The following is a 26,611-nucleotide window of genomic DNA, read 5'->3' on the forward strand; positions in this document are numbered from 1 at the left end:
TCATAGTACATATCTCCACTTGACACATTGCATATTTACTGTCTATTTATTTATTTGTATATTGTCTGCCTCCCTCTTCTAGAATGCATACTCCATGAGGGCAGGAATTTGCATTCCTTCACTGCTGTATTCCCAGTGCTTAGAAAAATACCTAGCACAGGCCAGGCGCGGTGGCTCACGCCTATAATCCCAGCGCTTTGGGAGGCCAAGGCGGGCGGATCACGAGGTCAGGAGATCGAGACCATCCTGGCTAACACAGTGAAACCCCCTCTCTACTAAAAATACAAAAAAAATTAACTGGGCATGGTGGCGGGCCCCTGTAGTCCCAGCTACTCTGGAGGCTGAGGCAGGAGAATGGCATGACCCATGGAGGCAGAGCTTGCAGTGAGCTGAGACCGTGCCACTGCACTCCAGCCTGGGCAACAGAGCGAGACTCTGTCTCAAAAAAAAAAAAAAAATTTAAAAAAAAAAAAAGAAAGAAAAATACCTAGCACATAATACACCCTCACTAAATACTTCTTGAATAAACGAATAGCAAATTTTCAGTAAAGGCAAACTATTTGCATTAGCATTATTACTAGGCACTCCCTTCCTGCACTCAGGGAGTTTGAAAGGAGGGGTGGAAGAGTGAGTAGGTAATAAAGCATCAGTAGTAAGTGGTGGAGTACAACCATGTGCAGTGGAGTCCTTGGTAGTTTCAATGCAATAACCTACTTAAATCTCACAATAACCCTACATGATAAGTAGTATTAGCCCCATTTACAGAGGGGAATGCTGAGGCACAAAGAGGCAACATGACTTTGCTATTGACTGATCCCCAACGTTAGCATCAGAAAGGGTCCCTCTCCTCTCTCTCTTTCTCCCTTCTTTCATCCTCTCACTTCCACTCGAAACTAGCTGAGTGGCAAAGATGTAGGGAAGTATGCTAAAGGGTAGCAGTCTCTGTCTCACACAGCGAGCCCCAAGGCCCCAAGAAGGGCTTGGTCTGACCTTGAAGCTTATCACAGGGAAGGCTAAGGCAGAGAGAGCACTTTGGGAAGAAACGGGGCTTCTCCAGCTGACTCAGCTCAGTTACCACAGAAACTGGAGACCTGTCGCTGGCTGAAATACCTGAGCACTTAAAATAATCCTTTCTGGGCAAGAGAAGGCCCTTGCTAGAGCCTGACTCCCCTCCAGACCCCTATTTTGGTCCCTGGCAGTGAGCATGCCCTTCTTTATACTCTTCCCAGCCTCTCAGGAACAAACTTTTCCACTCCCGTCCTCTGTCTGCACTCAGCACATGTCCTGAGGAGAGACAAGGGCCAGCTGCCTTCCGGCCGCCTGTCACCAGAGCTTTCTCCCCAGCTCTGCTGGGAGCTGGTCCAGCCCTTCCCTGGTCAAGAGAGTGCCAGAAACAAGCCTCTTTCTTTCCCTGGGCCATGGGACAAGGAGCTGGAGACTGCGGAAATGCCCCTGATACTCCCAAACGACAGGATATTATGTAACTATTAAAAACACTGTTTAGAGAAAAAATTTTAATTGCATGGAGAAATGATTATATTATGTTTTATGAAAAAAAGCTGGGCATACACTTGCATATACATTATAATCTCAAATATATGTGTGTGTGTGAATATATATATATGTATATATTTCCATTTAAAGGAATGTAAAGTATTTGGAAGGAAATACACCAATATATTAAGTGAAAACATGAAATTGCTGATATTCACCCATTTTGACCTACAAAAATGGCAACTGCATACAGTTCAACCTGATATCTCTGGGTAGTGGAATCATAGATAACTTTTTTTCCTTCTCTGTTATTTTTTATTATGTTTAAGCTTTTTTGTTTGTTTGTTTGTTTGTTTTTTGAGATAGGGTCTCACTCTCTCACCCAGACTCTGGAGTGCAGTGCCGCGATCTCTGCTCACTGCAACCCTCTGCCTCCCAGGCTCAAGCGATTCTCCCGCCTCGGCCTCCCGAGTAGCTAGGATTACAGGCACATGCCACTATGCCCAGCTAATTTTTGTATTTTTAGTAGAGACGGGATTTCACCATGTTGGCCAGGCTGGTCTCGAACTCCTGACCTCAAATGATCCACCCACCCCAGCCTCCCAAAGTGCTGAGATTACAGGTGTGAGCCACTTGCACCCAGCTTGTTTAAATTTTTATACCTTGGATACATATTAACTTTTATATTCAGGAGAGCAAATAGTATCATAAAACAAAACCAACTAAAAATGGCCAGGGTTTATTGCCCTGCTCCTCCCTCAGTCTTCATGGGGATAATCTGGGGCACCCATGCCTTCTTCTCCTTCTGTCCACGTGTGCAGGCACTGATGGCAGGATCAGATGGCATCATAGGCTTACAAACTGCATGCTGCTTATCACAGTAACATAGCCGAAGGAGGAATTTACCTCAATCCTCAGAGACAGGCTAAGCCAACAGGCAAGACAGGTATTTTAAGTAGCTCTGCCTGTCAACGAGCTAGCAGGACAGAAGCCTGAAATAGAGTAGTTTATGGCAGAAGCCCACATGAAGACAAGCTGCTAATTTATCCTTCCCCTCTGGGTCTCAGTTTCCCTTTCTGCTTTATTCTTGTATGCTTATATGTAGGGTGCACACATTTGTAAGCGTCGTGTGCATGTGTGATTCTCAGTGTGAGAATCTCTCATATGTGATATGCCCCCATCTCTCCCAGTGATGGCAGCTCTCTGCTGCAGCTGCCTCCCTCTCTGGGGTCATTTGGCTGGCATTCTCCTGGCTGCATTACCTCAGAGACACAGTACTATTATCAATTCAGCCTGTCAGGCCTCCAGCCAGTTTGGCTCCTACTTGCTCTCCAGCTGGAAAGGCTAGGCCTTCTCCCTTATCCTAGAGCTTTCTAGAAGCTCAGCAGTCTGGCTGGAAGATGAACCCTCCCAGAGAGCCAGGGGAGGGCAAAGGAGCAAGAGGGCAAGAGCCAGCAGGGGCCTGAATCATGGTGGAGATGGGTGGAAAAGGAGGGCACACACAACTAAAAACTCTGAGCCTTTGTAAAACACAGAGCTAATTCTGGGGGAGAATAGGAAAACAGGCTCTGATTATGCATGGCCCAGCTCCCTCCCATGAGGAAGCCAGAGGGCTGTCTGAGTTCATCTAAGAAGCTACGATCGGGTCATGGCCACCAGCCAGGGCCAAAAGCAAAAAAAAAAAAAAAATCTAGCTGCCTTCAAGAAAATACATTTCCTCCACTTCCACATTCCTATTGGTGAAATACAAGGGTTGAATGAGATAATAAAGTTCCATCTTGTTCTAACATGCTCTTAGAGTTCTTCCCTGCTCTAGCACATCAGCCCAGAAGTTAAAGGTACTCTCAGCAAGTAGACAAAGAAAGCAAGAGAAAAACAAGACATTCCCCAGATGCTATCCTGGAGAAACACTTTTTCCAGCAATATGGACAGGGAGAAGGAGATCCTTGAGGCCTATGGTCAGTCAGGCCTCCATTAGAACCCACCGCAGTTCAAAAGCCTCAGCATTTCTATGTCAATGCATATTGGCAATGAAGATCAAAAGGCAGCACCTAGTGCAGGCGCTGGGTGGGAGGACAGCCGTATGTGAGATACTTTCAACTTTGTGTTTTTCCTTATCACGAAGTGAAATTTTGACCAAAGCCTTAACTCAGTACAGCTGTTATTTCCATCCTAACTAAATTCAGAAATCACTCTCTGAAGCTGATTATAGAGATGATATATGCTACACACTCAAAAATTACACTGCACCAGCCTCAGTCCTCAGCAGTGTACATATATTATCTTATTCCATCCTTCAAAAATCTCTGAGGTAGCTATACTACATTTACAAATGGTAGGTATCCCCATTTTGCAGATTAGGAAAGTGATAAGTTAAGAAATGTGTCCAAGCCCATAAAGTTAGCAAGGGATGAAGCACAGATTCTTGTCCCACCTGTCTGACTCCAAAACTACCTGTGCTGTTCTTTTTTTTTTTTCTTTCCTCCCCAGCATACTGGTGCTGTTCTGATTCAAGGAGCATAGCAGTCACTTGGCAATCACTGAAAATTTCAGAGTTGGTTTTCAGGAAACTCCCTTCTTCTGCTTCATTCCACCCCACTGGAAAGGCAACCTCAACTTCAGCACAGACATCTCCAGAAAGAGGGATGTCCCCTGGACCTGAGTGCAGAAAGTTGGCTAGTGTGCCGGGGACCTCTACAGGTCCTGCCAGTGGCAATGGCTACAGACCCTCATATGGCACCCAGGCAGGGGGTAGATGGCCAGGAAAAGAAGCAAGGTAGGTCTGCAAGACAGTTCCCAGAGGCTTCTGTGGGCCTGGACCCCAGAAGCAATGGAGTGAGAAGCCAGGCTAGCAAAGTTGTGAGGCCATCCAGGTTTGTCTTCGGGCCTTCCCATTTCACATTTCTCCTCTCTGCTTTTAACCTCACAAGGCCTACCCCTTAGCCCATAACAATTAGGACCCAAGAATCTCACATTCCACCAACCCAAGTTTTGCTTCTCTCTGATAGCAATTTTTCCCTACAATGTCCCTTTCCATTTTCTTCTATCCCCTCAAAACAAGACTCATTTTGGGTCTCGTGGGTCCCTTTGCAAAAGTCACATCTAAGTTTCTGATAAACATAGTCTTGCTGAGGGATGAATGGCAGGTCATAGATTGATATGGTGCTTTTCTCAAGGCTATCTGTGTTTTAAACAAGGAACTCAGTAATGCTTCATCCAAAACAGTAAACTCCCAAGGTAGAGCTCTGGAAGCTTTAGACCTGCTTAGGGCTTCTGGGAAACAAAAAAGCAGATATTTTGGGCCGGGGGGAGTGGCTCACACCTGTAATCCAGCACTTTGGGAGGCCAAGGCGGGCAGATCGCTTGAGGTCAGGAGTTCGAGACCAGCCTGGCCAACATGGTGAAACCCTGTCTCTACTAAAAATACAAAAATCAACTGGGCATGGTGGCATATGCCTGTAATCCCAGCTACTCAGGAAGCTGAGGCAGGAGAATTACTTGAACCTGGGAAGCAGAGGTTGCTGTGAGCCGAGATCATGCCACTGTACTCCAGCCTGGGTGGCAGAGCAAGACTCTGTGTCCCAGGGGAAAAAAAAAAAAAAAAGCAGATATTTTGGTCAGAGGCGGGCTCAAAATCCCTTGTGGGTTGAGTACAGGGATCATAGTACATATATGAACACATCCTCTGCCTACACATTAGCCTTCCTGAAAATCAAGAAAACAGACAACTGTCAAACAAAGAAAGGCAGTGGTCGTTGGAGTGTGTGTGTCAGCGGGCAGGGGGATAAGGGTGCATTTACATGCATGTGCGCCTGCGCGTATTAGAGAGGAGGGACTTCCAACTGGCTACTGTTCCTCAGCTTGTTTCCAAGAGATAAAAATGACAGCTGTTTGGCTTAGATAATTAACCTGAGGAATGCGCTGTGTAAGACTGTTATTAAGGCAGCTGGGCAATTAAGTTTTTCCCCAGAAAGGGAGGGAATGGGGGATAAATAAAGCATTTAGGGGAGCAGACACAACACTGGAGGAGACATTGTCGGGAGCAGAAATCAGGGATGGAAAGCTTTCCGGCAAATCCGCTGGTTCTTGAGGAATGCGTGTCATCCCAGAGATGACCGAAGGGCATGGTGCAGCCCCTGCCTTCACACGCCCTGAGAGAGGACAGTGGACTCTCAGGGTCACACACAGCCCATCTGTCTCTGAGAAGCAAGCTGAGTGGCCAGCGCTGAATAAACGGCAAAGGTTGACTAACCCAGCTCCTTCACTTCACACATGGAAAAATGGTGGTTTGGTGAAGAGCCCTGACTTTCACAAGGCCACATCCCTGTTATTAGTGTCAAAACCAGAACCAGAATGAGGGAGTCCTCACCCCCAGTCTGGGGTGACTTCACTAACCATGACCGCCTGTGGATTCTTCAACAGCTCACTCTAAGTCAGATTGGCACCGATCACCTTGGGAGGCACAGAGGAGGGCAGCCCAGGGATGGGTGGATTTTAGTGAGGTACGCGAACGCATGTCCTGATCAGGGAAGAAATGCTCAGGAGTGTGATTTGCAGATGGGGCAGCCTCTGCATGTGGATGCAGCCACCAGGAGGCAGGCAGGAGAGAAGGGTTGGATAGAACAGTTTGCATCTGCCAGGCACTATGCTGGTGGTCACTTTACACATTCTTTTATAGAGTGCTCATGACAACCACTGAAGCCCATTTTTCAAATGAGGCCAACGGATAGCACAGAAGTAAATGAGGGCAGGGAAGCATCACAGAATCACAGACATTTTCATCCATGCCTTGAGATTGAGGGAATAATAGTGCAGTGAGTTTTCCTAGAATCCATCTAGGAGCTGGAAGAAAGAAAGCAAGAGGCCAGGGTGATGGGACTACAGCTTCAGGCCATTTTGGCAAAGAACAGCCTTGTCCCAACCACAGACAGTTAATGGGTCATCAAAGCAGATGAGCCCAGAAGGGCAAAGTTGGGGAGGCAGAGAAGATGCCATAAGGCAAAGCTGGCCAAGACCTATGTCCATTGCAAGGGTTGCAACATGGACCCGGAATTTACAGAAGCAAGCCCTTGAGACCAGTGGGATTCAGCAACTGAGACAGAATTGGGTGGAGGAGGTAACATGCAAACAGGCTAAGACTGGTCCACAAAAAGGAAGCCACACTTGGAGGAAGGGAACTAGGAGAGACAATTTTGGAACTAAAAGGAGTCTCTACTGCTCCTGTAACTCCATTCTGCTGAGTCGCCCTCTGTTAGTCGGCTGGAACTGGGTTGGGGAGTGGAGTGAGCAAGGCAGAAATGTCCAGGGGTCATAAATCTCCACCCCATTGTCCTTGCATTCATGGCACATCAGTAGGATGTGGCACAGAAGAATGATCTGGTCCTGGGCTCAGGGCTCGCTATGTCATCCCTGCATGGAGATAGAACAGAGGCACTAGCCAGAGGCCTTGGCTTCAGGGAAGTGTGTCTGTGGGAGTGGGAACTACTAGAGAGGGGTGATAGGGAAGGGTGAAGGGAGAGGCAGTAGGAATACAGCATTGCATTCGGCCAGCCTCATTTCTGGCTGTGGCTGTCCAGTACACCCCCTATCTCTAACTACTCAGAAAACTCAATACACGATATGTTTCTCTCGGAAGTCTAAGATCCCAGCACACAACCAAACCCTCCCAATAGCTCACAGGGAAAACATGAGCCACTTCATGGGTGTTATAAGAATTATTTGAGATAATTTATATAAAACTCTTAATATGATGCCAAAGACACATATGATATGCTTAATGAATTATAATTGCCATTAGTATCATTTAATAACAAAATAAACAAAAACTGAAATTAGAACTCAGCAGAATTAAAACCTGAATTTCTAATTCTTATCATGCAGCCACCAGAGCACCCAGAGGGGGTTCAGGGTACATCTGTCCAGAGGACAAAAAGGGAGTCTCTATGCCTTTAGTATCTATCTTCATTGCTGGAACCCATGGCCTCTGCAAAGGGTAGGCATGTAGTAGTGAGGGAAAGAGAAATGAAACAAGACAGAGAGGTGGAAGATGGGGGAGAGATGCTGATTGTCAGCAGTCGGCTCATTGCCAAAGAATGTTAGGGAAAAGGAGGGACCCTAAAGACCATCTCATCTAATACTCACTTACAGAAAAGGACAGCGAGGCTTACACAGGGGTAATCTCTTGCCCAAGGTCACACCTCAAGTCAGTGGCAGACCTGAAACTACACACTACATGAAAGATACTCCCTGCTATCCTCTATTCTTTCCAAAAGGCTAGATAAATTTATTCCCCCTTAGAAAAAAAAGAAGAAACAGCCAGTGCTTCTCAGCTTTCACAGCAGAAAAATAGCTGAGATTTATCCATCCCCAGGGTTGCAAAAGTCTAGACTCTGTTTTATAAGCACCCTGTTTTGCTCTCAAGGGGCTACTTAGGAGCAGAGAAGACAGCTGGCTTCCTGGGGCATCAGAGAGGCAGAGGGCAGGCCAGTGTTAAGCCAAAAGCCCCAGGCCTGGAGGAGGAGAAACTTTTCAGACAGGACTGGGATCAAGGGTACATCCCAACATAGGGGTCTCTGACCTCTCCTTGCCTCCCCTCCCAAAATGCAAGTCAGCCTGAGAAAGGAAATCGGCAGAGGTCTCCCTGAAATTTTTAGATATGGGCTCATAATTTGGAGGTTATGGGTGGAGGGAACAGCCAAAATCACTCTGTTGCCTAAAAAAAAAAATTTTTTTAATTTTTATTTTTTTAAAAATTCAATACTCAATACTGCCAGGTCCCCTGATGCTCATGGAGTAATCTAGACCCACAGGGAGTCCTGGCTAGGGCTGGCCATCTTACCCAACCCTGTCAAATGAGCTTCCCCACATCCAAGTGGGTGAGATGCAAAAACCACAGCCATCTCTGCTCAGCAACTCCAGTCATTTCCCTATACCATCTGTGCTAAAATAGCCAAGAGAACACAGGGACTAGAAGGGCAGTGAGGCCCAGAGGCCATATCAGATACCACCTTCCACAGCCCAGAAGACAAGGGCAGCCTGGAAAGGGGACAGATAACCCCGGTCTCTTTCCCCAAAAGGCTACAGCAACTCGGGACAAATCACTCCCTTATCCATTCCCTTGTTCAAGCAAAATGGCTAAATGAGGCAGCTGGTAGACAAGAAAACACTGAGTGATTTCAACTTTGGTAAAGAAAGATTCCCCCCTGTTGAGGGCAAACAAAAAGAAAACCAAAGTTCCTATAAAAAAAGACCCAGAGACAAATTAGAAGAAAAGTTTGTAAAAGCCATGACTAACAGGCAATGTTAGTCATAGCTCAAAGCATCGTGTTTCTGGATTTGATCCAACTTACATCTGAGCCTCTGACCCTGCTGGATAAGCTCAAGTCACTTCCTCATCTATCTCACTGACCATGGCACAGCTCAGTTCCTGCCATGGCAAGAACACAGTTCGGCCCACACATCCCAGCACCAAATAACACATGAGGCTCCATACACATAAACGGCCAGTGTTTGGCCTATTTGCCTATTCCCAAGACTTGAAAGACTATCCTGCCCATGCCCAAGGACTGAGAAAAGACTCCGTGTCATCTCAGAGAGATAAGAGAGAAATGAGCTATTTAGTTAATTCTGAGTACATTTCCTCTTGCCCAACCAACAGGTAAATTCCTTAGAGGCAAGGATCTGGCCTTATACTTTTACTGCACTCCCCAGTCCGTGTAGTACACAGGGCTTGGCCTACACCAAGTACATTCTAAGTATTCAGTGGACAAATGGCAGCTCACACACCCCTCCCATCCCGCCTTCCTCCAGTCCTGGGAAGTAGGGCCTACCTCGCCATACTGGGTGCAGTAGGTCTCAGGCTTGGTCAGTCCACAGGTAGATGAAGCTCGGAGAAACCGGGTCCTCCCAACAAGCAGGTCCCCAACAGGTGGATAGCAGGCCCCACGGGAGCAGGCTTGTTGGGCATGCAGGAGGCCAGGCAGGGCTGAAATCACAGGGATGTGTGATGGAGCAGTCCAGAAAAAAAGGGACCTCACTGGCCACCCCAGTATCTTTCAGGGAAGCTGACATTAGCAAGATTATATCCTTTCCCTCACTCAAGCTTCCACTCGCTGCTGGCAGTAATAATTGCAGTATTGATACTGTTATATTTTGAAAGTTGATTTCATATTCCAGAACTCAAAACTTGAAAAGGAGAAGAGGAGAAACACTGGCAACCAAAAACCATAGATGACCCTAAAATATGGCTTTTAGAACCAGACTGGAGACATAGACTCGGCCATCATGACAAGGTCCGCAGCTCTTTCCACCTGCATTGTGGCCTCTGTCAGCAGCCCAGAGGAGGGCTGACTGCTGAGCCATTGGCAGAACATTAAGAAAGGCCTGCATTTATTCTGCTCCTTTATCTTCAAAGCTGCCCCAGCCATACTTTGTGAGTGCCCAGCTACAATTCACTGGAAAACAGGAACTTAAGCCACAGTGGCTCTGGAACCAGCTTGAGAAAGGATGGGAAACTGTGGAGAGCACTCAGGAAACCACAAACCACCCTCGGCTGAGAATAAGAAGACATTTGGGAGCCTTTCCAGAGTGGCAGAGAAACTTCTTCCCCAAAGGCCCAAAGGAATGGGGAAATCTCACAGGTGTCCCCAGTAGACAAGTATTCCCAACTGAAGGGACTACAGGTGACAGGTGATGCCCACACTTTGGTAAACTCTCCTTCTCCCTGTGGCTGTTGCCTCCCTGCCATATAACAGGGCCTGGAAGGATGGGAAGGGGTACTTACCAAAACACAAGAGGAAGAATGGTCTCATCTTCAGCCAATGGGGTGATCCCCAGAAAGGACCTTTCCTAGGACACAGCAAAGCAAACTGGGTACAACAGTGCAAACCCCTAGAGCACACTAGCCCTTTTTCTTTTCTGTTTCTAGACTCAAGTATTTTTCAGAAGTCTTTACCTAGGGTCCTGATCTAGGACACTTGGAGCAGCAGATACATTTGTAGCTTGGAAAATGCTGGAGCTCTAGACCCTTGTCTCAAGTGGCATGTGACTCACAGGGTGCCCTGGGAAAATCCCATCCCTTCCCAGACTCCAGCTTCCTCCTCTAAAATGGATGGGAAGGAGTGTGGACCCTGCCCTACCCCACACAGCCGTAAGGACAACGTGGGGAGCAGGAAAAGGCTGGACCCTTTGCAGGAGAAAAGCTGTAGAAAGGGCCAAGACCTAGTTCCAGCCCCAAGAGAGAGGGCTGGCTTTTCTCAGGGCCTAGACCAGCAGCCTCAACCCAGCCCCGCCCAAAGTGAATGAGTCAGAGTGGCTGACGGCCTGGAGGCAAACCTTCTCCTGTCACGGGCATGGCCTCCAATACCATTCAGGGCCACTTTGAGTTTGAGGCTCTGTGCCCACAATTCTGGGATGCAACAGGGAGAGATGTATGGCTGTCTTTAACAAGTGAGTGAGGGTTTCTTCTGAAAGGGAAGCAACCCAAAATGTCTTCAATGATGGGCTGGGGCTCGACAAGAGGGGTGGGGCTGGGAGGCCACAAAGCAGGGATTCTGAAGGAGGCTGGGGAAGGATGCTCGAAAGCCACCGTGGGGTCCCAGAGGCAGGCCTGCCTTGTGGAAACATGCCCCACCCTTGCTCATGCAGTGACCCTTCTGCCTTGAATTGGATGTTCACTCTGTTCCAATGACAGCCACAAACTCTTTTGGCTGGGGTGGAGGGCTGGGGGCTTGGCAAGGCAGGGGCGGGGGGGGAAATTGAGGACATTTCTGGCATCTTTAAATTATAGATCCTAATGCTTCAAAATCATTCCTTCCAATCCCTCTCCTAAAAGAGTCATGGGCCCAGGGAGGGAACATGTGGCCTGGGGTCCCACAGCTAACGATGGCCTAAGAGAGACCCATCTTCTGACTTTCATCCAGTGCTTTCTCAGCTTTCCCACCCCTGACTGAAAATCCCCCTGCAAGTAGGCATTCTGAGCCAGGCCAGCCCACCCTTCTCACTTCTCTTTTGTGCTCAACCCCGGATCTGAACCTGCTTTCTTCTAAGCCACTGAGGTGCTTATCAAATGTGAAAAAGAAATCAAAACTGTAGCAGACATTTTAACCTAGCTCACCTGAGTGAGCTCCCAGGAAGAGGAATAAATCAGGCCCTGAAACCAGGCCCCAGGCATCCAGAGATACAGTCCTCCTCCCGCATCCGGCCCGCACCAGGCAGGTAAAGACAGGTAACATACCTTGCTGTGTGTTCTGCCGTTCTTTCTCCAGATCGCCTGAAAGCTCCTCTTGAATGTGGGGGTCTCCCCTCCCGGCTCCAGGTTTTTAAACAACAGCCTCACCTCTGGAGACTCCCTGGCTGGGTGTAGCCCCACCGCAGGGCGGGTCTCAGGAATCTGGCAGCCGTCACACCCATCTGTCGTCACTGCACCCCCACCTCCCAGGACGGGACTGGGCAAGTGGGTTGGTCGGTCCGTCCCAGAGTTCTTGTAGTGAGCTCCACAATGCCCACCTGCCTGTGGGGGCTGCAAGGGGCCCCTCAAACAGAAAGCACAAGGCACATGTAAGTGATCATCAGAGACCAGAATTCACAGGGTGGGGAAGGGCCCTTGCATTTGTGCCAGGCAATGAACTCAGCATTTTCCCAAAGCCAGCAGGGGTCAGCTTCTTCTTGTGACCTGGACCACCCCAGACAGAAGATCAGGCAGAGAACACAAAGATTAGGGCTTATATAGAGAGTTAAAGCTCCAGACATATCACCGGGCTGGAAGGTGAGAAGACTCAAACATCCAGGACCCTGGAAAGCACCATTCCCCTCCCCAGTGAAAAAAAAAATGAAAAATCCCAGCTTCTTGGGGCATTTGGAGGATCCTTAAAAGGCAAGGTTCATCAGGAAGGATTCAAAGCTCAACTCATCCAAGGAAAGCTTAAGAGAAATGAGCAGAGTAACTAAATGGCTCGCCTCCAGCTCCCTCCACAGGGTTGGCAGGGAGCCCTGGGACAGGTAGCTGCCTGTGAGTCACTCCTCCCACCTGTGGGGAGGGTTAGTCTCCTAGCCCCTCCCTCCCTAGGCAGGAATGCCCGCCTGGAGGGCCAGAAAACAGACCTGACCACAAGTGGTGGAAGGAAAGGCTGAAGCATAGCTTGACTGACAAAGTCAAAACAGACTTTCCCTGGCCTCCTGCCAGGCCTGAGAACACAGCTTCTTTTGTGGGCTCCTTGCTCAGGGATCCTGGGCTTCCAGCCACTGTAAATGGAAGTGGCAGGTCCAAATTGAGAGGCTGGTCTCACAGGACACTCTTTCCCCCAGGTTAGGGTCAGAGAGCTTTTAGGGAAACCTGGAGGGTCAGCCAGTCCATATCTTGGCCCTGGAGAGCCTGCACTGGCACCGTTTTGGAATGCTAGGACCTCAAAGCTACTATTTAAAGGAGCTTCTTAACTACGATTCCACTTTGTTAGTGTCTCCTAAACAGAAAGTTCTCCACCATTGGAGGGTTATGTCCAAGAAATTGGCTTGAAGACCCTTAAGGGGGAAATGTAGAATTTTGTGGATTAAATTGGGCATTTCTAACCCTCAGATTCGAATTAAGCATAAGTTCAGGTAGGCAGAAGAAATAGTGTAATTAGCAAGTGGGCAGTGAGTTGTTGATGTAAGTTGATGCATAATTGATAGTCCAATAAATGTTAGAGTCTTGCCCCCTGTAAGCATTCCAGTGAAATCTAGCTCAACTCAGCAAGTAAGGTCAGTAGAAGCAGTGTCCCTTCAACACAGAGAGACCTCCCTCAAGTCCCCCACCGAGAAAGGTCAGCTCTGACTCTGACACACCTGTGTTTTCAGTTCTCCCACCTGGTGGTCTCTTTCTCTCCACTTCCCCAACTCCCTGAACTCAGAGCGCTCATGAAACTTTCGCCCTCTGCCCATCACCAGAGGATGTGACAAAGAACTCATTAATAATTAACTCAGCAGAAGAGAGCAGGTGTTGCAATCCCAGATCCTCAGAGGAGAAAAGGCAGGGCAGGTGTGCGGTGGGCCTCACCATGAGTAGCTGGGGCCCCTTAAATCCTCCTCCTCCTCCCTTTATCTGAGGCCATGAGCCCAGGTAAATACACATTCGGTGTCTCAGACTTCACAGGCTTGGGCAGGTCCTGGAGTGGTTTGGCTTCGCAGGAGGGACATGCCAATTGCTGTGCTTGGCTCTCCCCTACACTCCCGGCAAAGTCCAGGAAGCTGTTTATGCAGACCCCCAAGAGCAGCCCAGCCAGCCTCACTCCTGAGGGACACTGATCATTTCCAAGTGGGGATCCAGTCCCCCAAGAACTCCAGGGCTCCAGGCACAAGCTCTGGAGCTTCAGAACCCAATTTGTTCAGTCAAGTAGCCTAAAATAGAGCCTGAGGCCAGATCAGGGTCCAGCTAAGATTAAAGGGGTGTGGTACTGTGGCTGGAGCCCCTCAGCCTCCCCTGTGTGCACACCTTTCCTCTCTCCCTGCGCCCATCCTCCTACAACAGAGCACTTATCTGCCCTAGAGCCTTGACTTATTAGAATGTGTGCTCAGGAAAGTGGCTAGTGAAGTCATCCCAGACTTCAGTATCTTTCAAACCTCATCACTCCATCAGCAAATTCGGTCAGCTCTGCCTTCCAATAATAATCAGAATCTACTTCTTCCCTCCTGGCCTGAGCCTCTTTTCCTGGGACGTCTGCAACAGCCTCCTCACTGATATACAGTCAAGTCCCAACACAGCAGGTTATGCACCCCGAGCTCAGAATCTTCACATGCCCCTATCCCACTCAGGGCCAAGGCCAGAGCTTTTTCAGAGTCTAGGGGACCCTACACCACCTTCCTCCCATTACTCTTCACCTCTACTACAATGGCCTCTATCCCTGTCTTAGCTCAGGCTTAGGGCTTTGGCTCCAGCTGCTTCTGCTGCCTGGAACGGTCTTGCCCCTGGATATCTACAAAGCTAACTCTCTGACCTCTTTCAAAGTCTTTGTTCAGATCCTAACTTCTCAATGAGGCCTATCCTAAACACACTATTAAAATTACAGCCAACTTCCCTGCCCCATCCCTGTCCCCCATCCTAACACTCCTAACCCCACCTACCCTATATTTTGGTGAGTTATTTATTTACTTATTTGGTAGGGGGGCATCATGTACCAGCTTCTAACCAACTATATAATTTATCTGCTTATGTTTATTTTCTGTCTCTTCCCAACTAGAATGTAATATCCAAGAAGGCAGAGATTTCTATCTTATTCACTACTGTTTTCCAAGTGCCTGGCACATAGTAGGTGCTCAATACTTGTGGAATGAATGGATCCACACTAAAGTACAAACAATTGATACAGTTCAATGCATCCCCTGTGCCGTTGATGTGTAGTTGCATTCTCAGAGGGGACAATCCAGGCTTTGGGCACTGGGATGGATTACTAATAGTGGAAATTCCTGTATCAGCCAGAGTGCGGAGGTCTTTTTTGAGGCACCTATCTCCAATTACAGAAATGTCACCATATTGACAGAGGCAGTCTCCTTCTTTGCCTGCTTCTCAGTCATTCCTGGCAATGTCTCTGACAGGGTGTGGGGGTGGCATTATAAGCTACTGTGTCTATTATCCATCTGTCAGGCTCAAACCGTCCAAGTCGCTAGGGAGATCAGCCAAGATCTGATCAATCAGAGATCAAGGGATAGGGAACAAAGGAAGGAGAAAAGGAGGAAGAAAAGGAGAGAGAAGAGGTTCAGGGGGCATAGGAGAACCTGGTCCAGGCTGTGACTCTCAGGTGTTGGAGGAAGGGGCACCAGGTGACTCAAGCTCAGGCCACACCTGAATACAGTGAATCATGGCTGAGTCCTCGTCTGTGGGACAGGGTGGACTCCAGGAACGGCCCTGGGGATTTGCCATGTGACTAAAGCTTGCGTTGCCCTGCACTACAACACAACTGCTCAGCTGTCCAGACAACTGGTCACACTCTTCTCTGTGCCTCCCCAGGAACCAGGGAGAGAAAGTGGGCCTGGTGTGTTACGGAGGCACAGATAGGAGCCCAGCCTCAGGAGAGGGGAGGCTAAGCAGGACAGAAGTCGCCTGTCATGAGTGACTCTTCCATAGCCCTTCTCCTCTCCCCACCCTCACCTATCCAACCTGAATGTTTACCCAGTGGACAACTGTGCATGCAGCTTGAGCCCGAGGACTGGGAGCAATCAGGCAATCGGCCTAAAATCACTACAGCTGATATCTGCTGAGTGCTTGCTGTGCCCAGGCACTGTTCTGAGCCCTTTGCATGTATCCACTCACTTAATACCCACCACAACTCTGTGGGGATAGACAATTATCTTTATCTTGCAGACAAGGAAAATGAGGCACATTTTCGATAACTTGGCCTTGGCTAGTAACTGGGGATTTGAGCCCATGCCATTTTGCTCCAGCACGCATATTCTTAACCATTACACAGGGCCAAAGATGGGCCATATCACCTGAACTCCCAGAGTGCACCCTGGCTAATCCTTGGCCAGAGTTCACCAGACTCTGGACCTCATGTCTCCCAATGTCTAAAAACTCCTCTTTGTTGGCCAGGCGCCGTAGCTCACGCCTGTAATCCCAGTACTTTGGGAGGCCAAGGTGGTTGGATAACTTGAGGTCAGGAGTTCGAAACCAGCCTGGCCAACGTGGTGTAACCCCGTCTCTACTAAAAATACAAAAATTAGCTGGGCATGGTTGTGGGTGCCTATAATCCCAGCTACTCGGGAGGCTGAGGCAGGAGAATCGCTTGAACCCAGGAGATGGAGGTTGCAGTGAGCCGAGATTGGGCCACTGCACTCCTGCCTGGGCAACAGAGTGAGACCCTGTCTTAAAACAACAACAACAACAAAAAACCTCCTCTTTGTGCCCTTGTTCCAAACCTAGGAGCACTGATACTGTCTAGGGGCTCCAGGAGTGACACTGATGCTGTAGAGACATCTAGAACAAACCCCACCAGGTGCTACCTCCTTATTTGTTTTCCTTATTGACAACCTCTCTTCTATGGGCACAGATGGAGAAGGTGCTGGCCTCCAGTTCTTCCATCTCAGAGGCTCCAGCACATACCAGCAGGGTTTCCTCCTTCATACCAACAGGGGTGGCTCTGACTAAGGACAGGAGCACGCCAGGAGGCGTGGACAGAAGGTGACCGCAACATTCTGGTGAGCTGACAAGGTGAAGCAGAGGACGTGACGAGAGGATGACACAACTTCCCCTTTGCCAAAGGAAGGAGATCCCCTGCCCTGAGGTCAAGAGCCTGGGCCACCTCACAGGCTACAGCTCCTTCTGCTCTGTCTCCCAGTGTGCCCTCCAAATGGCCCAGCCCTCCTGAGGGGTACAGCCCAGTACAGCCTACAGCCTGGTGGAGCCATATGCTGGCCCATGGCTGGCTGGCTCCCAGAGAAGACAGAAGAATCTTTTCATTCTTACCACCTCCATCCCCTCCCATATTTCCTGACATTCCTCTGGCAGACAGGCTGGCCCATCGCCACACCCCCTCCTCTAACCCCAGTCACCTCTGTCTCTATTCTGTGATTCTATTTGGTCATTGACCTCTGGGGATTAGGTTATTGGGATCTAAGTCCGACCTTTATGACCTTTGGATAACATTTGCCATGTGTAGTTGGCCATGTGGCCATGGTCCAGCCTCCATGAGAGGAGAGAGACATACAGCTGTCTGAAGGGGCACATAGCCACGTGGCATGGTGGGTCTGACAGGTCGGGAGCTTCTGGGGAAGAAGAAGGGAAAGCAATGGCTGAGAGCGAGCTGGGGCTTTTGTGTCCTGAAATCTGCTCTTGAAGCTCTCACAGGGCTGCCCCACAGGACTTTCAAATTCTAAATATGATCCCTGAAAGGGCTACTAGACAGACAAACTAAGTGTCCTAACACGTAGTTTAAATTGGCATTAGTTTAAATTGGCATTTGATGGCTGAGTATGGAGAAATAAGCACCTTGTGGTTTGATGGGGAAGAGAGAATGGGTGCGTCTGGCTTCTTGTCTGGAATCAACACCACCTAAGGGCTTTTAATCAGCACCTGCCCACAGCGCCTGTGGCTACACCGGGGTATGTGTATGGACTTGACCGTAGCTCTGCTCTGCTACTCAATAGAATTGTAAACTTGGGCAAAATCCTCTCTGAACCTCTGTTTCATTATTTATAATTAAAGGTATTAGATTCTAATGGTTCTTACTCAGGCTGCCCCTCAGAATTACTTGGAGAACATAATATATCACATACCAAGACCAGGCCTCACCCAGAGAATTATTCACTGGCAGACGGGCAGAGACATATGTTTTTCAAGCTCCCTAGATGATTCTAATGTGCAGCCAGGGTTGGGAAACACTGAAGCCCCCTCCAGCTATAAGATGCTGTGCCCTCAGGGTGGGGTGGTGCAGGACAGTTGTTAAAAGCCTAGACTTGAGAGATGAAGGCTCAAGTCCTGGTTCTGCACTCACTATCTGTGTGACTTTGGACAGCTCGTTTAATCTCCGATAGTCCCATTCCTGCAATGGGAATAATGACAAATCTACCTCATGGATACTGTGAAGATTAAAAGAAACATGCATAATTGTCAGCAAAGTGCCTGGCTAGGGCCATGCTCTACAAAGGGTGTCTGACCCCATGTGTGCTTCACACACAGGTATTGGGGGCTATGATCAGCAGTCTTTGCAGCTGCTAACACAAAGCAACTAACACTCCCATCCAGATGGCTCATAAGTCACTCACTGGGCAATGAGCAGGCTTGGGCCATTCCTCTTCTCCTCCTCCAGGGAAGCCCCAGGCCCCAAGCTGAGCATCTGTGCTTTGCGCATTCCACCTTATTCCTTAGGAGCTGTAAACTCCCCAGTAGCCATGACCTGGACCAGAAAGAAAGAGAAGACCCCCAGGGGGACCAGTCAGAGCTAAGCTGACTTAGTAGGAGGATGCTTCCAGCCTTGCTGGATAGGGAGAGACAATGGGTGTGAGGGGAGGGAGTGTTTACAAACACAGAGGACAGAGGACAGAGGGGCAAGTATCAGCTAATGGACTTATTGTTTTATGGCCTTCAAGAGTTAGTAAAACCAGAGTCCAACATCTGATTTAAAAAAAGAAAGAAGGCCGGGCGCCGTGGCTCATGCCTGTAATCCCAGCACTTTGGGAGGCTGAGGTGGACAGATCACAAGATCAGGAGATGGAGACCATCCTGGCTAACACGATGAAACCCCGTCTCTACTAAAAATACAAAAAATTAGCCGGGCATGGTGGTGGGCACCTATAGTCCCAGCTACTCGGGAGGCTGAGGCAGGAGAATGGCGTGCATCCGCGAGGCGGAGCTTGCAGTGAGCCAAGATTGCGCCACTGCACTCCAGCCTGGGCAACAGAGCGAGACTCCGTCTCAAAAAAAAAAAAAAGAAGAAAGAAAGAAAAAAAAGGAGTCAAAGCTAGTCTGGACAGCAGGTTTGCAACTGAACTCAGGATAATCGCCAGGAAGACTGATGGCAGTAGAGAAAAGGCACTTCTTCTCCCGGGGCCCCTGCCTTCACCTATCAGACAAAGGTGATGACTCTTTACTCAATTTAACTCTTTCCCTTTCAAACAGAATTCAAAATTGCCCCCTTTTGATCTAAATATCATAAAAAGATTTTTATAACTTTGGAAAATGTTTAGGAGGTACTACTAGCTGGCAGAAAAAAGGAAAAAAATTTACCCCAAAATCTACTTCACTCTAAAGAAAGAAGTACTCAGAAAATAAATATAATGTTAACATTTCTCTTCCCTTTCTATTTCTCTGTGTGCTCTCTTCTTCCACAATGAGCGTATTTTACTAGAATAATCAGTGACAGTAAGGTAAAAAGATTTAGGATGAGAAGAGTAAATCTTGTTATTACAAGTGATCTTTGATTAGTCATTCCTCTCTCTGCTCCCTCCTTGACCTGAATGCCCTTTCACTAAACCCACTGACTGCCTGAGAGTATGCTGTGTACGTTTTCTGCATCACTGCAGATTTTGTAAGATAGGGTTTTCCGTTTTCAAGAAGTATTGCTTCCTGAGGCAGGATTTGTTACGCCAAGAGAGCACTTAGCACAGTTCCTCAATAAATGTTGTGGGAGGAAGGAAAGAAGACAGGAAGGGAGGGAGGACTGAACACACGAGTAACTACCAGCACCTTATTTTCCTGCTTCCTAACTGCTTGTATGTATGAGGACAAACCAAAAAGAAAGAACTAGAGTCAATTCTCGTGTATCTACATTTTGGGAGAAAGAAGTAAGGATAACTAAAATTACTACTCTCGTCCAAATTTGCTTCTCCCATGGACATCTCCCAGGATAATGACTTTGATTTTTCCCATTGCTCACTCAGAACTCTGTACACCCAGCAGCTCATATTGTTCAAGTATAAATGTATATATATGCCCAAGATTGTGATGTTATGTCTCTATGTCATATTTGTGTACTGTTTCCAACAAAAGACCATGACTCCTTGTAGCTAGGATTGCCAAATAAAAGAATCCCAGTTAAAACTGGATCTCGGAATACTTTGTTGGTGTAAGTAGGTTCCAAATATTGCATAGGGAATACTTATACTAAAATACGTATTGTTTATCAGAAATTTTACTGAGATTTCTGTCTTTTTATTTGCTATATCTGGCAACCTCACTCGCAGTACGTTGTTTATCCAGTTCCATGACTGCCAGATTTTTTCCTAACCTGGTCATCTTCCTCTAGAAAGTCCCCCATCTGTTAGTAATCTTCCAAAATATAACGGTTAGAAATGAGCACAGGTGCCCTGGGTTTCAGATGCCGTGACATCATGGTGGCATCCTCTGGGTAAGGGCCCCTTTGTCAAAGGCCACTCCAGGTGAAGGACTGAGAACTGAACCAACAGTGCAGGGAGAAGCCTGTCCCTCCATCATCAGGAGATGGCATGTGTGCTTCTTGGATATTAGAGACTGTATTTACCCCTTTAAGTACTACACCAGAAAGAAATATCTGTGTTTTTCTGAAAGAACAGAAGGAAGCAAAATATTTTTCCAACTCCTCCTATGAACCAGGCCCCATGGTAAGAAATGTATACACAATACCTTGTTTAGGAATCCCTGTGGTCCTTTAAGATGACTCTTTCAGGAAGATCTTATACTCCCCTTTTTACAACGTCACCATTAAGTAGCTTGCACAAGATCACAGAGCTAATACTTTAGGATATGCTTTGCTACAGTAATAAATCAAACACAAAATCTCAGCAGCTTAACATAACAAAAGTTTATTTGTGGTTCACACAAGGAAACATGCAAGACAATGGTGAGAAGAGGGATCCTCTGTTCCATACCATCACTTAGGCATTTCTGCCATCTTGTAGCTGCACCAACCAGGACACACAGCCTTAAAGATCATGGCAGCAAGGTCAGATAGGGCATGGCAGACCTCTCCCACTTATTCCACACTTCAGCTCTGAAATGACACAATCAATCTGGCTTACAACTCATTGACTGGAACTACTCACAGGGGTCTTAGGTAATTTTCCTATGTGCCCAAAAGAGGAAAACAAAGCAGGGCATGGTAAACACATAGCATCGTCCACCACAACCAGTATATAGTGAAACCAGAATTCAATAGCAGAATTTTTTTTTTTTTTTTTGAGACGGAGTTTCGCACTGTCACCCAGGCTGGAGTGCAATGGTGTCATCCCGGCTCACTGCAACCTCTGCCTCCTTGGTTCAAGCAATTCTCCTGCCTCAGCCTCCTGAGTAGCTGGGATTACAAGCGCCCAACGCTACGCCTGGCTAATTTGTGTATTTTTAGTAGAGATGGGTTTCGCCATGTTGGCCAAGCTGGTCTCGAACTCCTGACTTCAGGTGATCAGCCCACCTCGGCCTCCCAAAATGCTGGGATTACAGGCATGAGCTACTGCGCCCAGCCTCAATAGAAGATTTTTAAGTTTCCAAAGTCTGTGTTCTTTCCACTACACTTGGCTTACCAAGACTGAGGGAATCTACTTGTCGCCAAAAGGAAATGACATATGGGACAATTTATAGAAAAGGCAATCTCAAGGAAACTGGTAGGAAAAGCTGCTGTGGTGAATATTCTATATTTGCAAAACCTAGAACACGACAAGAATGCTCTCCTGAAAAACCTTAAAAACATAGATGAGACCTCTGCAAATTAAAGCCAGAGGATAAATATTTATGAGACATGTATGCCACCTCTTCAGTCTCTTAAAGACATACCACTGGAAGTGGGAGAAAATCAAGGAGAAGATTCTGGTCTGTTGCAGGGTGATCGGTGATTCTGGTTTGCTCAGGACTCTCATCGTTTTAGCACTGAAAGTACCACATCCCAGAAAACCCATCAGTCCCAGGCAAACTGGAATACTTGATCACTCTGTTTGGACAGTAATACTTTTTCTCCAAGTTTTTAGAAGTGTTACCTCAGGTGGCTCAGTAAACTCTGCATGAAGATGCACAATGATCTGAGAAAGTAAAGTTTGCCTCAAGTCCAGGAAAAACTTGGATGGAAACAGCACATGGGAATAGCAGTTCCTTTCAGGGACTTGGGGAAGAAAATAGTATTGCCAGTATGGCTTTTGTGCAGGAGACTCTACTCCACTGCTGCGGCCTGACGTGCAGGAAGCTTTTCCCAGCCAAATCACACCACAAACCCATATTGAGCTTGTAGAAACTTTAACAACTCTGTCTTTTTCGAGCCAAATACTGTTAAAACAGGTTGTTCACTCTTGAATTTGGTGTCATTCTTAAGATACATGTGAGCATACACACACACAGGCGCACACATACCTTTGCACTTTTTCCTGCTACATTTTATCTTGTTAGTTTTGGCTTGTTCTCCATTTGCTAGGCGTTGGATTTGGTATGGACTTTATCCTGCATACTCTCCATCATCTCCAGGTTAAAGTCCAAAGTCTTCAGCCAGGTACCCAGGGTCCAGCTGAAAAAGTTGCATTTTAGGCCCTAACTCACACAACCCCCTTCACAGACATGCTTTGATTTAGTCATCTGCTCTCTCAACCACACTTAGGCTTGATTCATCCAACTCTGCCTGTCTACACTGCCCTCTCCACCTCCTGTATACTTGGCAAGATCCTAAATCCAAGACTCAGATCAGATTCCTGAATCAGCAGTGGCTTCTCTGGCATTCTCTGTAAATTCTTCCCAAACTCTGGCAAGTGGACCTTGACCTATACAACTCCATCGGCAAACAGTTCCATTCTGTTTTGTCAGTCTCTTTTCTAAATATCTCAAAGTTGCATACTTACGCTTGTTCAATGTTAATTATTTTGTGATTTGTCCCCAAACATGGATTATAAAATCCTTGAAGTCAAGGAGAATTCTTGAGTTCATAGCCCAGTGTTTGCACATAATAGGTGCTCAATAAGCAGATACTGATTTCTTAGTAGGAACTCTTAAGGCAAAAGAAAACCATAAAAAGTGCTTGAAGAGTATGATTCCATGAATATTACCCCATAATTCCCTCTTGGGACAACTTAGCAAGAAAATCACCCAGAAAAAAAATAATTTTTCCCCTAAAAATTGGAACCTGAGAAAATTCATGATGAACTGATCCACTCATCAGCAGAATTTCAACCCTATGCAGCCTTGAGTTACATGCCAACTTCCTACTCTATCTAACCTAGCTGGTACTTACAAATGGGGAGAACCAAACTAGCAGTACTTTTGGTATTTGAAACTGAAATAGTTCTGGGATCAGGCCATAGATTTTAGTCACTCGAGCCTTTAAGATCCAGCTTTTAGAACCTTGAGAATGAAAGACGTAAATGTGGGTTTAGGGGAGAGGAGGGCACAGATGGACAGAGGATCTTAGGAATCAAGTACCCCTAAACATGTTTTAAGAATTCTGTGTCACTCCCAAAGAATTAGGCAACATGTGTATTAAAAAGGTCTAACATTTGCTGTCTATCCCTGTGCTGCCAATGATAATGTGTTCCACTGTTAGTTTCTGGCCCGCTGCAGCCCTTGGCCAATGAGCATCAAAGCCAATACGCTGAGAAGCCCCGCCCCACAACCAAATGGGGTCTAGGAATGTTTGTTTCTTTAAGTCCATTGCCTGGGGATCAAGAGTATCCCAGGAGCTGACATGAGCATTGAGGGGCAGCTTCTCTCACCAACAGTCCCTCTGTGTGTTCCAACTGCTGCTTTTCTGGCCCTTCTGTCTAGATCTTTGACAGTGCCTGTTATCCTTTTAGTTGTTCTGGGAGTCTGAATCTCCTATCTGAATCCTCCTCGGCAAATCAGTCTGCATATTGCATATTGATACTCTTCCACCCCCAGCTTCTGTCTGGTATTCACTCTCAGGGCCTGGACTTTTCTTCTAGTTTTCCTCATCACATTTCAGCAGACCCTTCTGACTTATAACCTAGAAACAGAAAAACACCCAGAACCAATCATTCATTCAACAAATATTTATTGAGTGCCCACCCAATGCCAGGAACCCAGCAACATAGTAGTAAACAACTCACACACAATCATTATCCAGAGGAAGTCTACTGTGTCATGGGACACAGACATTAAACACATAATTACCAAATAACTTATTAATTTTGCAACCAGAATAACCTCGACTTCTTTAGCCATCCAAGAGTCACTCTTTCCTCTACTATCCAAATAACAATAATTCTGGGAATTCTAAAGTTAGATGCTAATGTACAAATCCATTCTAGTTGTTGCTGCCCCCAAACACTTCTAGCTTTCTTATCACCATTTCTCTATGCTGTCACCAATCTCTCTTGCTTATCTTGGCCCCCAAAGCAGAGCATGAACACATGGTCTTTCCTCAATTTTCCAAATAACAAAACACTTAGCTGTTGAGTTTAAGAAACTTTACTGAAAGTTTGGAGAAGACACAGGGAAATGACTATCCAAAAGTAAGTATCAGCTCTCACCACACCCAGAATCCATGCAACATCACAGCATGTTCTTTCTGCCATATCCTGAGCTCTGAGACTTCACCAGGTTGCAGAGGCCATGGCCCTCCCTCTTTCAACAACAGTCCTCTCTTTCTATGAATTCACTTCTCCCTTCCCACCCCATGAAGAAAGTGTCTTACAAGGTAACAACCCAAATGAGTCTATCTGCCTTGGGATTATAATCTACTCTGTGCTGCTTGCCATCCATGAGCCTACATTCATTCATTCATTCATTCAGGAACTATCACTTACTTTGTATCAGGCATTGCACTAGGTGAGGAGGTTATAGCAACAAATAAGACAGACAGGACCCTCCTTCATAAAGAAGACAAACAATAAGCTAGTAAACTAAAAACTATACCTGACAATTACAAATTTTGATGCTTTCTATGAAATACGAGAAAACCAGAATGGTGTGATAGATGGGTCTCAGGAAGGGAAGAATGCCACTTTAGAAAGGACAGATAAGAGAAGTCCCCCTGAGAAGGTGACATTTGGGATGAGTCCAAAAGATTTAGGTCTGGATTCCCCAAAACAAGCTAAGCGTATATTTAAGGTACTGGTAAGGTAGAAGCACCAAAATTTCCTTTGAAAATGTTTATTTTTATACATCAAAAAAGACATGGAAGTAGACCCCTTAGGAAAATGAGAATGCTGTAGGCCCCTCCTTATACATATTTTAAAAATGTAATATTGTGTTTATTTTTATTTAGATGGGCAGTGTAGAGGACCCTTAATCTTTCCAGGGTTTAGGATCTCTAAAGTCATACTCAATCCCCAGAATATGCCAGGAAGGGGTGTTCTAGGCAGAGAAGGAACAAGCACAAAAGTTCAGTGGCAGCAAAGAGCTTGGCCTCTTCTAGGGGCAGGAAGAAGGGCTGAAAACAGCATGAGCAAGGTTAGGGGTAAAAGCTAGGGTTGGGGGAGCAGACAGGGGCTAGGTCACATAGAGGAAATGGTTCTCAACTCTAGTTATGTATGAAAAGTCCTTGGAATATTCTACCATTTTCTGATGCCTGGGCCCTACTTCAGGAGATTTAACTGACCTGGAATGGGGTTGAGGAATTGGTATTTTTTTTAAGTTTCTCAAGTGATTCTAACATGTAACCAGAGTAAGAAAACATTGACGTGGGGCCTTGGAACCAGCCAGAGGGACACAGTGTTGAATGGTGAAGAACATGGACCCTGGAACCAGATTATCTGGTTTTGAGTCCCATCCCCACCACTGACTAGCCGTTTGATTCCCAGGCACTTTGCAAAAGCTTTCTGTTCTTCAATTTCCTCACCTATAAACATAGGGATATTAGTTTACCTACCTCATAGAGCTGTTTGTAGGCCTAGTAAGTTAATACATAGAAAGGTCTCAGAAGGCACACACTGAAGATGCAGTAACTTACTAAAATAGCTGTGACTATCCTATGCTCTTCTAGAGATGGAAAGGGGTGGATGGAGTCAAGGTGTCAATTTGATACAACTAACAGGACTTGCTGAAAAACTGGAAGAGGGAGATGAGAGGGGGAAAAAGGAATAAAAGATAGCTTCCATGTTTGGGGTTTTAGCAATTGGGTGGAAAGTGATGCTGTGTCCCAAGATGGGGAAGACTAGGAGGTAAACAAGTTTTGAAGAAAAAAAATCAAGAATTTCATCTGGCATGCATTAACTTAAAGACACCCTATTAGATATCCAAGAAGAGATGCAAATCAGACAATATGTAAGCCTGGAGCTCAGGAGAGAAACAAATTTCAGATTCATTAGCGTATAGAGCTGTCCTGTCCAATAGAGTAGCCACCAACCACACATAGGGGGCTATTTAATTTAAATTTAGATTAATTAAACAAAATTAAACATTCAGGCCACCAGTTTTCACCACATTTCAACTGCTTAAGAGCCTCATGTAGCTAGTGGCTACCATATTGGACAGCATAGATATGCAACGTTTCCATTGCTGCAGAAAGTTCTGTAGAGCACTGAAGGAGTCTCAAACCATGGAACTGGAGGAAGTCATCTAGGAAGTAGTCCATGATTCTGGCTACACACTAAAATCACCTCCAGGAATTCAGAGTTGATTTGTCTTGGGGAAGTCTCAGGCATTGGTAGTTTTTAATAACCCAGGACGATTGTAAAGTGGAGCCAGGGCTGAGAACAACTGACCCAGGGAAATAATGCTGGAGAAGAAAGGAATCATGGGAGGGCC

At 46.7% G+C, this 26,611-nt stretch overlaps 1 protein-coding gene and 1 long non-coding RNA gene across 9 annotated transcripts in view, besides 3 other annotated features; both read right to left on the reverse strand.

Annotated features, from left to right (window-relative positions):
* LAMB3 (laminin subunit beta 3) overlaps nucleotides 1-11,785 on the reverse strand; it is a 37,556-nt gene extending 25,771 nt beyond the window's left edge. For 2 of the 6 annotated variants that reach the window (XM_017001272.3, NM_000228.3), the window contains exons 1-3: nucleotides 11,729-11,785; nucleotides 10,277-10,341; nucleotides 9,324-9,478 (exon numbers count right to left, since the gene is read on the reverse strand). In XM_017001272.3, coding sequence (XP_016856761.1) covers nucleotides 9,324-9,478; nucleotides 10,277-10,304 — 183 coding nt within the window. In that variant the 5' untranslated portion in view covers nucleotides 10,305-10,341; nucleotides 11,729-11,785. Of the gene's footprint in view, nucleotides 1-9,323; nucleotides 9,479-10,276 lie in introns of all 6 variants that reach the window. The other 4 variants (XM_047420351.1, XM_005273124.5, NM_001127641.1 and 1 more) reach the window with 3 other exon arrangements.
* Nucleotides 11,287-12,486: an enhancer, noted in NCBI's record as "MED14-independent group 3 enhancer chr1:209825272-209826471 (GRCh37/hg19 assembly coordinates)". NCBI's record gives its function as "activates an origin of replication core promoter dependent on BRD2, BRD4, P300/CBP and CDK7 cofactors, and independent of MED14, by STARR-seq in HCT116 cells {active_cell/tissue: HCT116}" and the evidence as "EXISTENCE:reporter gene assay evidence [ECO:0000049][PMID:35650434]".
* Nucleotides 16,056-17,255: an enhancer, noted in NCBI's record as "P300/CBP strongly-dependent group 1 enhancer chr1:209830041-209831240 (GRCh37/hg19 assembly coordinates)". NCBI's record gives its function as "activates an origin of replication core promoter dependent on BRD2, BRD4, P300/CBP, MED14 and CDK7 cofactors, with strong dependence on P300/CBP, by STARR-seq in HCT116 cells {active_cell/tissue: HCT116}" and the evidence as "EXISTENCE:reporter gene assay evidence [ECO:0000049][PMID:35650434]".
* Nucleotides 16,716-16,785: an enhancer, noted in NCBI's record as "active region_2468". NCBI's record gives its function as "activates an Ori minimal core promoter by ATAC-STARR-seq in GM12878 lymphoblastoid cells {active_cell/tissue: GM12878}" and the evidence as "EXISTENCE:reporter gene assay evidence [ECO:0000049][PMID:35858748]".
* Nucleotides 20,719-26,611, reverse strand: part of HSD11B1-AS1 (HSD11B1 antisense RNA 1) — an 81,204-nt gene continuing 75,311 nt past the window's right edge. For all 3 annotated transcript variants that reach the window (NR_134510.1, NR_134509.1, NR_134511.1), the window contains exons 2-3: nucleotides 22,271-22,421; nucleotides 20,719-20,927 (exon numbers count right to left, since the gene is read on the reverse strand). This is a non-coding gene — a long non-coding RNA (HSD11B1 antisense RNA 1). The remainder of the gene's footprint in view (nucleotides 20,928-22,270; nucleotides 22,422-26,611) is intronic.

Source organism: Homo sapiens, chromosome 1, assembly GCF_000001405.40.
Source record: "Homo sapiens chromosome 1, GRCh38.p14 Primary Assembly".
Taxonomy (NCBI): Eukaryota; Metazoa; Chordata; class Mammalia; order Primates; family Hominidae; genus Homo; species Homo sapiens.